Raw genomic sequence first — 13875 nt, forward strand, 5'->3', positions numbered from 1 at the left:
TGGGATTGCTGGGTCAAATGGTATTTCTAGTTCTAGATCCCTGAGGAATTGCCACACTGACTTCCACAATGGTTGAACTAGTTTACAGTCCCACCAACAGTGTAAAAGTGTTCCTATTTCTCCACATCCTCTCCAGCACCTGTTGTTTCCTGACTTTTTAATGATCACCATTCTAACTGGTGTGAGATGGTATCTCATTGTGGTTTTGATTTGCATTTCTCTGATGGCCAGTGATGACAAGCATTTTTTCATGTGTTTTTTGGCTGCATAAATGTCTTCTTTTGAGAAGTGTCTGTTCATATCCTTCGCCCACTTTTTGATGGGGTTGTTTGGTATTTTTTCTTGTAAATTTGTTTGAGTTCATTGTAGATTCTGGATATTAGCCCTTTGTCAGAAGAGTAGATTGCAAAAATTTTCTCCCATTCTGTAGGTTGCCTGCTCATTCTGACGGTAGTTTCTTTTGCTGTGCAGAAGCTCTTTAGTTTAATTAGATCCCATTTGTCAATTTTGGCTTTGGTTGCCATTGCTTTTGGTGTTTTAGACATGAAGTCCTTGCCCATGCCTTTTTTTTTTTTTTTTTAAACAGGGTCTCTCTCTGTTACCCAGGTAAGAGTGCACTGACATGATCATAGCTCACTGTAGCCTTGAATTGCTGGGCTCAAGCAATCTTCTCACCTCAGCCTCCCGAGAAGCTAGGGCTACAGGAACATGCCACTGTGCCTTAGTAATGTTTTAGTTTTGTAGAGACGAGTTCTCACTATGTTGCCCAGGCTAGTCTCAAACTCCTGGCCTCAAGTGGTCCTCCTGCCTTGGCCTCCCAAAGTGCTAGGAATGCAAGCATGAGCCACCACACCTGGCCAACCAATTGCTTTTGATAAAATTAAAACACTTATATAAATCACATCCTCTGATTCGTGGATTTTTTCATTTATCCAAAGGTTTCTATCTTCTATCCCACAAAACCTCCCAAAGATGATGTAGTAAATAGCAAAAGCAGTGCTTTGCTTTTCATCCACTGTGTCTATTCCTCAACACCAACTTAAAGGTACAGTAAGAGAGATTAGGAGTAAGAGCAAAAAATACAGATAATGTCAAATTGGGCAAACAATCTCAGAAAAAAAGACATTTTGTCTTATCAATGGAAATTATCAAGTGTGGGCACAACACGAATTTTCTTTAAAGAGACAACCTATCTGGTTTCAGCTGCTGAAGCTACTGAATTACAATGGATATACATATATATAGATACATAAGTATGTACACAGATACACGTATATATACACACTCAAGGACTAGAAGATAATTCTCATTACACAAGGAGGCAGTGTTGTGCAGAAAAACCAAAGATTCTACTTCCTTAGCTAAGTCACAGACATGAATCATCACCATCAACCCAAAACCACTAAAGAAAAAAAACAGCATAATTTTCCGTATGACTATTGGTACAACTTCTCCAAAATTATCTTCTCAATGAAAGTTGATGTTGCAAGAAACCCAACACAGATGCATTTATAAAACCCCACTGGAAGGTATTCTGTGTGAATATGCACTAAGAATGCAATCTTGCTTCAGGTCAAGATTTTGCCTTCTGTAGGAACTTCCATAAGATTTTCTTTGCAAAAGCTTTTAAGAAGGTAACTTTAAATGTAAAAAAAGTGATGGTTTCTTATCACCATTTAAATTCTACAACTTTTGGGTGGCTGGCAAGATGGCCGAATAGTAACAGCTCCTGTCTGCAGCTCCCAGCAAGATCAATGCAGAAGGTGGGTGATTTCTGCATTTCCAACTGAAGTACCTGGCTCATCTCATTGGGACTGGTTAGACAGCGGATGTAGCCCATGGAGGGCGTGCCAAGGCAGGGTGGGGCATTACCTCACCCAGGAAGCATAAAGGTTGGGGGAACTCCCTCCCCTAGCCAAGGGAAGCCATGAGGGACTGTGCCATGAGGGATGGTGCACTCCAGCCCAGTTAGTATTATTTTCCCATGGTCTTCACAACCCACAGACCAGGAGATCCCCTTGGGGCCTATGCCACCAGGGCCCTGGGTTTCAAGCACAAAACTGGGCGGCTGTTTGGGCAGACACCAAGCTAGCTGCAGGAGTAGTTTTTCATACCCCAGTGGTGCCTGGAACGCCAGCAAGACAGAACCGTTCGCTCCCCTGGAAAGGGGGCTGAGGCCAGGGAGCCAACTGGTCTAGCTCAGCAGATCCCACCCCCATGGAGCCCAGCAAGCTAAGATCCACTAGCTTGAAATTCTCACTGCCAGCACAGCAGTCTGAAGTCAATCTGGGATGCTTGAGCTTGGCAGGCAGAGAAGCATCTGCCATTACTGAGGCTTGAGTAGGCAGTTTTCCCCTCACAGTGTAAACAAAGCCACCAGGAAGTTTGAACTGGGTGGAGCCCACTGCAGCTGGGCAAAGCCACTATAGTCATACTGTCTCTCTAGATTCCTCCTCTCTGGGCAGGGCATCTCTGAAAGAAAGGCAGCAGCCCCAGTCAGGGTCTTATAGATAAAACTCCCATCTCCCTGGGACAGAGCACCTGGGGGAAGGGGCAGCTGTGGGTGCAGCTTCAGCAGACTTAAACCTTCCTGCCTGCTGGTTCTGAAGACAGAAGCAGATCTCCCAGCACAGTGCTTGCGCTCTGCTAAGGGACATACTGCCTCCTCAAGTGGGTCCCTGGCCCCTGTGCCTCCTGACAGGGAGACACCTCCCAGCATTGGGTTGACAGACACCTCATACAGGAGAGCTCTGGCTGGCATCTGGCAGGTGCCCCTCTGGGACGAAGCTTCTAGAGGAAGGAACAGGCAGCAATCTTTGCTGTTCTGCAGCCTCCACTGGTGATACTCAGGCACACAGGGTCTGGAGTGGACCTCCAGCAAACTCTAGCAGACCTGCAGCAGAGGGGCCTGACTGTTAGAAGGAAAACTAACAAACAGAAAGGAATAGCATCAACATCAACAAAAAGGACGTCCACACATAAACCCCATCCAAAGGTCGCCAATATCAAAGACCAAAGGTAGATAAATCCATAAATATGAGGAAAAACCAGTACAAAAAGGCTGAAAATTCCAAAAACCAGAACACCTCTTCTCCAAAGGATCACAACTCCTCATCAGCAAGGGAACAAACCTGGACAGAGAGTGAGTTTGACGAATTCACAGAAGTAGGCTTCAGAAGGTGGGTAATAACAAACTCCTCCGAGCTAAAGGAGCATGTTCTAACCCAATGCAAGGAAGTTAAGACCCTTGAAAAAAGGTTAGAGGAATTGCTAACTAGAATAACCAGTTTAGAGAAGAACATAAATGACCTGATGGAGCTGAAAAACACAGCACGAGAACTTAGTGAAGCATACACAAGTATCAACAGCTGAATCAATCAAGCAGAAGAAAGGATATCAGAGATTGAAGATCAACTTAATGAAATAAAGCGTGAAGACAAGATTAGAGAAGAAAGAATGAAAAGGAATGAAAAAAGCCTCCAAGAAATATAGGACTATGTGAAAAGACCAAATCTACATTTGATTGGTGTACCTGAAAGTGATGAGGAGAATGGAACCAAGTTGGAAAACACTCTTCAGGATATTATCCAGGAGAACTTCCCCAACCTAGAAAGACAGGCCAACATTCAAATTCAGGAAATACAGAGAACATCACAAATATACTCCTCGAGAAGCGCAACCCCAATACACATAATCATCAGATTCACCAAGGTTGAAATGAAGGAAAAAATGTTAAGGGCAGCCAGAGAGAGAGGTCGGGTTACCCACAAAGGGAAGCCCATCAGACTAACAGCGGGTCTCTGCAGAAACCCTACAAGCCAGAAGAGAGTGGGGGCCGATATTCAACATTCTTAAAGAAAAGAATTTTCAACCCAGAATTCATATCCAGCCAAACTAAGCTTCATAAGTGAAGAAGAAATAAAATCCTTTACAGACAAGCAAATGCTGAGAGAGTTTGTCACCACCAGGCCTGCCTTACAAGAGCTCCTGAAGGAAGCACTAAACATGGAAAGGAAAAACCAGTACCAGCCACTGCAAAAACATACCAAATTGTAAAGACCATCAACACTATGAAGAAACCGCATCAACTAACAGGCAAGATAACGAGCTAGCATCATAATGACAGGATCAAATTCACACATAACAATATTAACCTTAAATATAAATGTCCCAATTAAAAGACACAGACTGGCAAATGGGATAAAGAGTCAAGACCCATTGGCGTGCTGTATTCAGGAGATCCATCTCATGTGCAAAGACACACATAGGCTCAAAATAAAGGGATGGAGAAACATTAACCAAGCAAATGGAAAGCAAAAAAAAGCAGGGGTTGCAATCCTACTCTCTGATAAAAAAGATTTTAAACCAACAAAGATCAAAAAAGATAAAGAAGGGCACTGCATAATGGTAAAGGGATCAACACAACAAGAAGAGCTAGGTATTCTAAATATATAAATGTATATAGATACCCAATACAGGAGCACCCAGATTCATAAAGCAAGTTCTTAGAGGCCTACAAACAGACTTAGACTCCCACACAATAATAGTGGGAGACTGTTAACACCCCATTGTCAATATTAGACAGATCAACAGGACAGAAAATTAACAAAGGTATTCAGGACCTGAACTCAGCTCTGAACTAAGTGGACCTAATAGACATCTACAGAACTCTACACCCCAAAGCAACAGTATATACATTCTTCTCAGCACCACATCACACATATTCTAAAATTGACCATATAATTGGAAGTAAAACACTCCTCAGCAAATGCAAAAGAATGGAAATCATAACAATTTCTAAGAACACAGTGCAATAAAATTAGCACTCAGCATTCAGAAACTCACTCAAAACTGCACAACTACATGGAAACTGAACAACCTGCTCCTGAATGACTACTGGGTAAATAACAAAATTAAGGCAGAAATAAATAAGCTCTTTGAAACCAATGAGAACAAAGACACAACATACCAGAATCTCTGGGACACAGCTAAAGCAGTGTTTAGAGGGAAATTTATAGCACTAAATGCCCACAAGAGAAAGCAGGAAAGATCTAAAATCGACATCCTAACATCACAATTAAAAGAACTAGAGAAGCAAGAGCAAACAAATGCAAAAGCTAGCAGAAGACAAGAAATAACTAAGATCAGAGCAGAACTGAAGGAGATAGAGACACGAAAACCCCTTCAAAGAAACAATGAATCCAGGAGCTGGTTTTTTGAAAAGATGAACAAAATAGATAGACCACTAGCCAGACTAATAAAGAAGAAAAGAGAGAAGAATCAAATAGACATAATAAAAAATGATAAAGGGGAAATCACCACTGATCCCACAGAAATACAAAATACCCTTAGAGAATAAACACCACTATGCAAATAAACTAGAAAATCTAGAAGAAACTGATAAATTCCTGGACACATACACCCTCCCAAGACTAAACCAGGAAGAAGTCGAATCCCTGAATAGACCAATAACAAGTTCTGAAATTAAGGCAGTAATTAATAGCCTACTAACCAAAAAAAGCCCAGGACCAGATGGATTCACAGCTGAATTCTACTAGAGGTAAAAAGAGGAGCTGATACCATTCCTTCTGAAACTATTCCAAACAATAGAAAAAGAGGGAATCCTCTCTAACTCATTTTATGAGGCTAGCATCATCCTGATACCAAAACCTGGCAGAGACACAACACAAAAAGAAAATTTCAGGCCAATATCCCTGATGAATATCGATGCTAAAATCCTCAATAAAATACTGGCAAACTGAATCCAACAGCACATCAAAAAGCTTATTTGCCATGATCAAGTTGGCTTCATCCCTGGGATGCAAGACTGATTCAACATACACAAATCAATAAACATAATCCATCACACAAACACAACCAATGACAAAAACCACATGATTATCTCAATAGATGCAGAAAAGGCCTTTGATAAAATTCAACACCTCTTCATGTTACAATCTCTCAATAAACTAGATATTGATGGAACATATCTCAAAATAATAAGAGCTATTTATGACAAACCCACAGCCAATATCGTACTGAATGAGCAAAAGCTGGAAGCATTCCCTTTGAAAACCGGCACAAGACAAGGATGTCCTCTCTCACCACTCCTACTAGACATAGTATTCGAAGTTCTGGCCAGAGCAATCACGTAAGAGAAAGAAATAAAGGGTATTCAAATAGGAAGAGATAAAGTCAAATTGTCTCTGTTTGCAGATGACATTACTGTATATTTAGAAAACCCCATCATCTCAGCCCAAAATCTCCTTAAGCTGATAAGCAACTTCAGCAAAGTCTCAGGATACAAAATCAATGTGCAAAAATCACAAGCATTCCTATACACAAATAATAGACAAACAGAGAGCCAAATCATGAGTGAACTCCCATTCACAATTGCTACAAAGATAACAAAATACCTAGGAATACAACTTACAAGGGATGCAAGGACCTTTTTAAGGAGAACTACAAACTACTGCTCAAAGAAATAAGAGAGAACACAGACAAATGGAAAAACATTCCATGCTCATGGATAGGAAGAAGCAATAATGTGAAAATGGCCATACTGCCCAAAGTAATTTATAGATTCAGTGCTATCCTCATCAAGCTACCATTAACTTTCTTCACAGAATTAGAAAAAAAAACTACTTTAAATTTCATATGGAGCCAAAAGAGAGCCCGTATAGCCAAGACAATCCTAAGCGAAAAGAACAAAGCTGGAGGCATCACACTACCTGACTTCAAACTCTACTAATTGTCTACAGTAACCAGAACAGCATGGTACTGGTACCAAAACAGATATATAGACCAATGGAACAGAAGAGAGGCCTCAGATATAATACCACACATCTACAACCATCTGATCTTTGACAAACCTGACAAAAACAAGCAACGGGGAAAGGATTCCCTATTTAATAAATGGTGTTGGGAAAACTGGCTAGCCATATTCAAAAAACTGAAACTAGACCCCTTCCTTACACCTTAAAGAAAAATTAACTCAAGATGGATTAAAGACTTAAATGTAAGATCTAAAACCATAAAAACCCTAGAAGAAAACCTAGCCAATACCATTCAGGACATAGGCATGGGCAAAGACTTCATGGCTAAAACACCAAAAGCAATGGCAACAAAAGTCAAAATTGACAAATGGAATCTAATTAAACCAAAGAGCTTCTGCACAGCAAAAGAAACAATCATCAGAGTAAACAGGCAACCTACAGAATGGGAGAAAATTTTTGCAATCTATCCATCTGACAAAGGGCTAATATCCAGAATCTACAAAGAACTTAAACAAATTTACAAGAAAAAAAAATAACACCATCAAAAAGTGGGCAAAGAGTATCAACAGACACTTCTCAAAAGAAGACATTTATGCAGCCAACAAACATATGAAAAAAGCTCATCATCACTGGTCATTAGAGAAATGCAAATCAAAGCCACAATGAGATACCATCTCACGTCAGTTAGAATGGCAGTCATTAAAAAGACTATAGCAAAAAAAAAAAAAAAAAAGTCAGGAAACAACAGATGCTGGAGAGGATGTGGAGAAATAGGAACACTTTTACGCTGTTGGTGGGAGTGTAAATTAGCTCAACCATTGTGGAAGACAGTGTGGCAATTCCTCAAGGATCTAGAACCAGAAATACTATTTGACCCAGCAATCCCATTACTGGGTATATACCCAAAGGATTATAAATTACTATAAAGACACATGTTTATTGCAGTACTGTTCACAATAGCAAAGACTTGGAACCAACCCAAATGCCCACCAATGATATACTGGATAAAGAAAATGTGGCACATATATACCATGGAATATTACGCAGCCATAAACAAGGATGAGTTCGTGTCCTTTGCAAGGACATGGATGAAGCTGGAAACCATCATTCTCAGCAAACTAACACAGGAATGGAAAACCAAATACTGCATGTTCTCACTCATAAGTCGGAGTTGAACAATGAGAACACATGGACACATGGAGGGGAACATCACACACCAGGGCCTGTCAGGGGCTGGGGGGCTAGGGGAGGGATAGCATTAGGAGAAATACCTAATGTAGATGACGGGTTGATGGGTGCAGCGCACCACCATGGCATGTGTATACCTTTGTAACTAACCTGCACATTGTGCACATGTATCCCAGAACTTCAAAGTATAATTTAAAAAAAAACACATTTACCATATGACCTAGCAGTTTCACTCCTACCTGTCTACCACAAAGAAATAAAAATGTATGTCTACAAAAATAAATCTACAACTTTTGAAATGTTAAACTTGTTTCAGCAGTAATTCAAGTCTTTACTTCATTTAAATGGAATCTGCAGGTGTCCAGGGCTTTGCCCACTGTGAGTACCCAGTATCTTCCTTCTGGAATTCTATCAATATCTGATTAACTCACCCTTAGACATAAAGGTATTGACAACGTGTGCCAGGGAGATTAGAGTTACAACTCAACAAACTCAGAAATCAGCTGGAGTAATGAGTTGTGCTTGCAAAATTAACTCTGAATTATTACTACTAGGTATATTTTCTGCATAGAACATTAATAACAAGCTGGCTTTCTTCTGCTATTAGCTTTCTCCCAAACCCACTTACTCTCTTCTCAGATGGTGGGTGCTCCCCAAAGTAAAGTCATTTTAAATGCCATCTGCCTAAAACAGATCAAAATTAGAAGGGAAAATTTGCTACAGGACAATAATGCAATGCATCCCAAGTCCAAACAAGCTACTGGTTCAAAGTTTTGAATAATTAGCACCACAGTCCTACTATTTATGACACCAAAAACTGATTGCTAATAGAATTATATCTTTTTTGAAGATAGATGATATTTCTCTTGGTGTACTCCTAAAGCCTAATCCAGGAGGCTGGGTGACCCAATGAGTTGCATTTTCACAAATTAGTTTCTGGAGAACAGGAGTGTGTGCAGAGCTCTCCCTAGACTCTTATAAGTATATCCAAAGATCCCTCTTCCAACTGTTACACATCATTTCTTTTTCAATTCTCCCCTCTATATCAAATCAATGTTGACATATATTTGAATTTGATGAAAAGTAGATTGCAGGAAACTTTTCAGATATCAGGGTAACCCGAGCATGCTTTGTTATTAAAAGCAGAATCTTTTTAATTGAAAACTCAAGATACTTCAAAGTTCATTGAAGTTAGATATAATTTTTTTCTATTATACACAAATAAGATAGCTTTAACCATATGCTCTTGCCTAATGTTGGGGTTCAAAAAAAATACCCCAAAGTGAAGGCCTAAGAAGCAGCCTCAGAGCAAAGTCTCTCTCTGACCTTCTCCTGCCCTCCTGTCTCTCACCCCTCATCCTCCCCCTAGTCAAGCCTAGTCTAGAAACTAGAATCCAGGGCTGGGTGCAGTGGCCCATGCGTGTAATCCCAGCACTTTGGGAGGCCGAGGCAGGCGGATCTCTTGAGGTCAGGAGTTTGAGACCAGCCTGGCCAACATGGTGAAACCCCATCTCTACTAAAAATACAAAAGTTAGCCAGGCATGGTGGCGGGAGCTTGTAATCCCAGCTATGTGGGAAGCTGAGGAGTAGAACTGCTTGAACCCAGGAGGCAGAGGGTGCAGTGAACCCAGATGGTGCCACTGCAATCCAGCCTGAGCGACAGAGCAAGACTCCATCTCAAAAAAAAAAAAAAAAAAACTAGAACACTTATATGTTAGGCACTGTACTAAGTATTTTACATATGTTCTTTAATTCTCACAATTCTTTGAGATCAACACAATTATTATTTCCATTTGAAAGATAAAGTAATTAAGGAACAAAGAGATTAAGCAATGACACCAGGTAGTAAGTGGCAGAGCTAGGACTCAAACCCAGTTCTACCTGATTCCAAACTCACATTCTTAACTACTCACAAGATATGACTTTAAGTGACATATGTGAACAATAATAGGAATGAAGAAGTAAAACCAATGCAGGACACATTGTGAAGGAGGAATCCATGAAGTTTAGCAACTGTTTCAGTGTATCAGAGAAAGGGGAGGAGTCAGAGATTACTAAGGTTTGAGGGGTGAGTAACTTGAAGAAGTGACACTGTTCAAAGAAACAGGGAGGTCAGAAAGAGCCCAGCCTCGGAGAGGAAGATGAATTCATACTTAGACAACACTCATTTCTAAGCAGGGAAATAGTGTATGGAGAAGAGAGCTACCAATTTCATGTTAGTTTATGCCACTCGGCCACCCAGATTCTCCAAACCCCATGTAGAGACTGGACTAGAACTCCTGGTTCTTGTCTTCCTGAACAGATTTTTCTAACCTCTTCTACTATTTGAACAATCAGCCCAATTTTAAAAGTTAAGTCAGAAGGAAAAATTAAAGAGAGTGATTAAAAAAGGGGTGGCCTTTTTTCTCCAGGAGTTTCTGGTCTGTGTTTAATTCTAAAGCAACCAACACGTGTCTCTGCACAACAGCCAGCAGCATTTTGGCACAAGATATTCATGGATTGTCATAATAGGCAATGCTAACCAACTTAGCAGAAATAAGAATTTAACACCTTTATGAAAACTACTGCTTCCTCTACACCCACCGTGATCACCAAAGTTTTTTCTGAGAAAAAAAACTCATGATTTGTGATTAGAACGTCAGGTTTCTGCCATTAATTAGTTGTGTGACCTAAGCAAGTAACTTGATTTTTCTGTACTCATGTAATTCCCTCCTCTATTAACTTGAGTGGGTTGACTATATTCAATTTAACTCAGATTTAACTAACATTTACTCAGCCAATGCTAGGATTCTTTCCAACACTTTATATTCCATTATTCAAAATGGTAGAAAGAAGGGGCAAAAGGTCTTGAGCCTAAATAGATGAGAGCTGAAAGCAGTGCTATAGTTCATTTCATGCAATTCTCTTAGTTTATAAACCAAGAAAGTGAGGCCCAGAATCTTGACTCACTGTGGATAAAAAGCTAGTTAGCAACCAAGTCCAATCTAGAACTGAGCCCTGATTTGCCTTCTTGGGCTTTTCCCGCTACACCACAGTGTCCTTTCTACCCAGCTAGTTTAGGAATGTTTGTCTTAGATCAACTCAGAATGAGTTACAAAAGGAAAAAACACAAAGCCTGGCTGATCTGAGAGAGATTTATGTGTTGGATTTAAGTTCTTATAAAATAAAATCCCGTAACACTTCAACTGCAACATAAAGTATTAGGCTATGTTACATGCTCTTTATAGCACAGTATAATGGCTAAAGCCTAAGGCAGAACTTCTGTTCTTACTGCCATAGACACAGCCTAACTTCCAAAAGGTTATTCTGAAGTTGTGAATCCTGAGACAACAAAAAAGAGGTGATGGTGCCCCCCCAACCTGGGTAGCTCACTTGGCCAAGTCTGCATTTGGTGCCCACTTTGACTTTGCCACTGGAGGATCAAAGGAGGAAAAAGATGCTCAGAACTAGGTAGAGAGGAAAGAAGGGGGGTGAGAGAGGGTGCCAGCCAAGCCCTTCAGCAGCATTGCAGATCTCCATCTCTAATTCCCCATCTCTTTACTTCTGGTTCTAAGAAACATACAGAAATAGAGGAACAGCCAACACAAAATTCAAAAACAGAAACTATAGTGAGAGTTGGCATGGCACTGCCGTAGGAGCTTCTGCCATAGGCAGAAGTACACACTGCCTACCCCAAGAGCTGGCTCTGCTCACAACTTCCTTGCTGAGCTGTGACGTTTAATAAGACCCCCTGGTCAATGCCTTAGGTTCCTTAGACACCGGCATTAAATGAACACAGAAAGACTAATAAATAGAACTAATTCATTGTTTTTATAAATAAGAGTCTTTTTACCTTCTAAATAGGAGTAAAAATGAAAAAGATAAATTTAACCACATTCGGCCAGGCACGGTGGCTCATGCCTGTAATTCCAGCACTTTGGGAGGCCAAGGCGGGCAAATCACCTGAGGTTGGGAGTTCAAGACCAGCCTGACCAACATGGAGAAACTCCATGTCTACTAAAATACAAAAGTAGCCGGGCATGGTGGCACATGCCTGTAATCCCAGCTACTCGGGATGCTAAGGCAAAAGAATTGCTTGAACCCGGGAGGCGGAGGTTGTGGTGAGTGGAGATCGCGCCATTGCACTCCAGCCTGGGCAACAAGAGCAAAACTCTGTCTCCAAAAACAACAACAATGACAACAACAACAAAAATTTAACCACATTCTTCCTTTGAGGTAAAACCATCTGGACCATCAAATAACTGCCCACTCTGAACACAAAGGAGCATATCTCCTCTGACACTTGCATGTCAAGTCTTTCTAGGGCCCTTTTCTAATTGATAGGCTTTATTATATTCACAATCCTACATCTGATGTACATAATACACCTCTTATTCTAAAATGAATATTTTTAAATCACAGTAGTGTTCATTCATTTATTTATATATCAGCAAATATTTATTGAGTATCACTTACATGCCAGGCACTGTTCTAAGTGCTAGGAATAGAGCAGTGAACAAAATAAACAAAAATCCTGTGCTCATGGAGCTCACTTTCTAGTTCAAATCTCTCCCTCTTTATTTTCAAAGTGCTCAATTTCATAAATGCTTGTTAGCCCAGGCGCCGTGGCTCACGCCTGTAATCCCAGCACTTTGAGAGGCCGAGGCGGGCAGACCACCTGAGGTTGGGAGTTCGAGACCAGCCTGACCAACATGGAGAAATCCTGTCTCTACTAAAAATAAAAAATTAGCTGGGCTTGGTGGCATGCGCCTTTAATCCCAGCTACTTGGGAGGCTGAGGCAGGAGAATCGCTTGAACCTGGGAGGTAGAGGTTGCGGTGAGCTGAGATCGCTCCACTGTACTCCAGCCTGGGTAACAAGAGCAAAACTCCATCTCAAAAATAAATAAATAAATAAATAAATGCTTGTTGAATGAATAATAAATAACATTTGGGATAATCTGTGAGAATCAGACAAATTATACAGATTGTCTGTGAGCCATATAAAATCTAAGACAAAATGTATGAATTTAATTAATCCTTGAATTTTTACCTCCATTTCCTGTCAAGTCTCTTTTTCATTTTTGCCAGCCTGCTGTAAAATAAAATAAATTCCTAGGAAGTATTTCTTCCAAGGCACAGAGTATAAAATATCAACAAGGCCGGTCACAGTGGCTCACGCCTGTAATCCCAGCACTTTGGGAGGCCAAGGCGGGCAGATCACAAGGTCAGGAGTTTCAGACCAGCCTGGCTAACATGGTGAAATCCTGTCTCTACTAAAGATACAAAAATTAGCTGGGCGTGGTGGTGGGCACCTGTAATCCCAGCTACTCAGGAGGCTGAGGCAGGAGAATTGTTTGAACCCGGGAAGCGGAGGTTGCAGTGAGCCAAGATCACACCATTGCACTCCAGCCTGGGTGACAGGGCGAGACTCTGTCAAAAAAAAAAAAAAAAAAAAAAAAAAAGGCCAACAAAAGAGAAAAAGGCATTTATAAACAGAAAAAAGAGAGACAGCCTGGTAGTGATCACCTTCATTCAGTGAAGTCCTACATTTAGAGACCTTGTCCTCTATGCCAAGCATCAAATTTTTAAAGACCCAATAAAGTAGCATTTCAAAAACCAACACTAAACGAATTAATAACCTGGCTGAACACTTACTTCAAGGAGGTTCAGAGCTGACCCTCTAGAGCATGGCCTTGGGGTTCCATGTTGGTTTACGTTCATCTGGACCCGGTGTAGTACTGCTGACTTCCAGTCAGTTGCAACTTCATTTTCATAGTGTCCTGGGTGGTGCAGCCTGAGGAGGGGTGGGTCAGGCAAATAGGTGTTTCATAATGCAGTCAGGTACAGAGCAAATCCTTTGCCTCTGGGAAGTAAAGTTAAAAGGATAAGAGATTATGAGAGAAATCCACTATAGCACCAAGGAATGGTAAC

At 40.8% G+C, this 13875-nt stretch overlaps 1 annotated feature.

Annotated features, from left to right (window-relative positions):
• Positions 1383 to 1472: an enhancer, noted in NCBI's record as "active region_1250". NCBI's record gives its function as "activates an Ori minimal core promoter by ATAC-STARR-seq in GM12878 lymphoblastoid cells {active_cell/tissue: GM12878}" and the evidence as "EXISTENCE:reporter gene assay evidence [ECO:0000049][PMID:35858748]".

This window comes from Homo sapiens, chromosome 1, assembly GCF_000001405.40.
Source record: "Homo sapiens chromosome 1, GRCh38.p14 Primary Assembly".
In the NCBI taxonomy this organism is placed as follows: domain Eukaryota; kingdom Metazoa; phylum Chordata; class Mammalia; order Primates; family Hominidae; genus Homo; species Homo sapiens.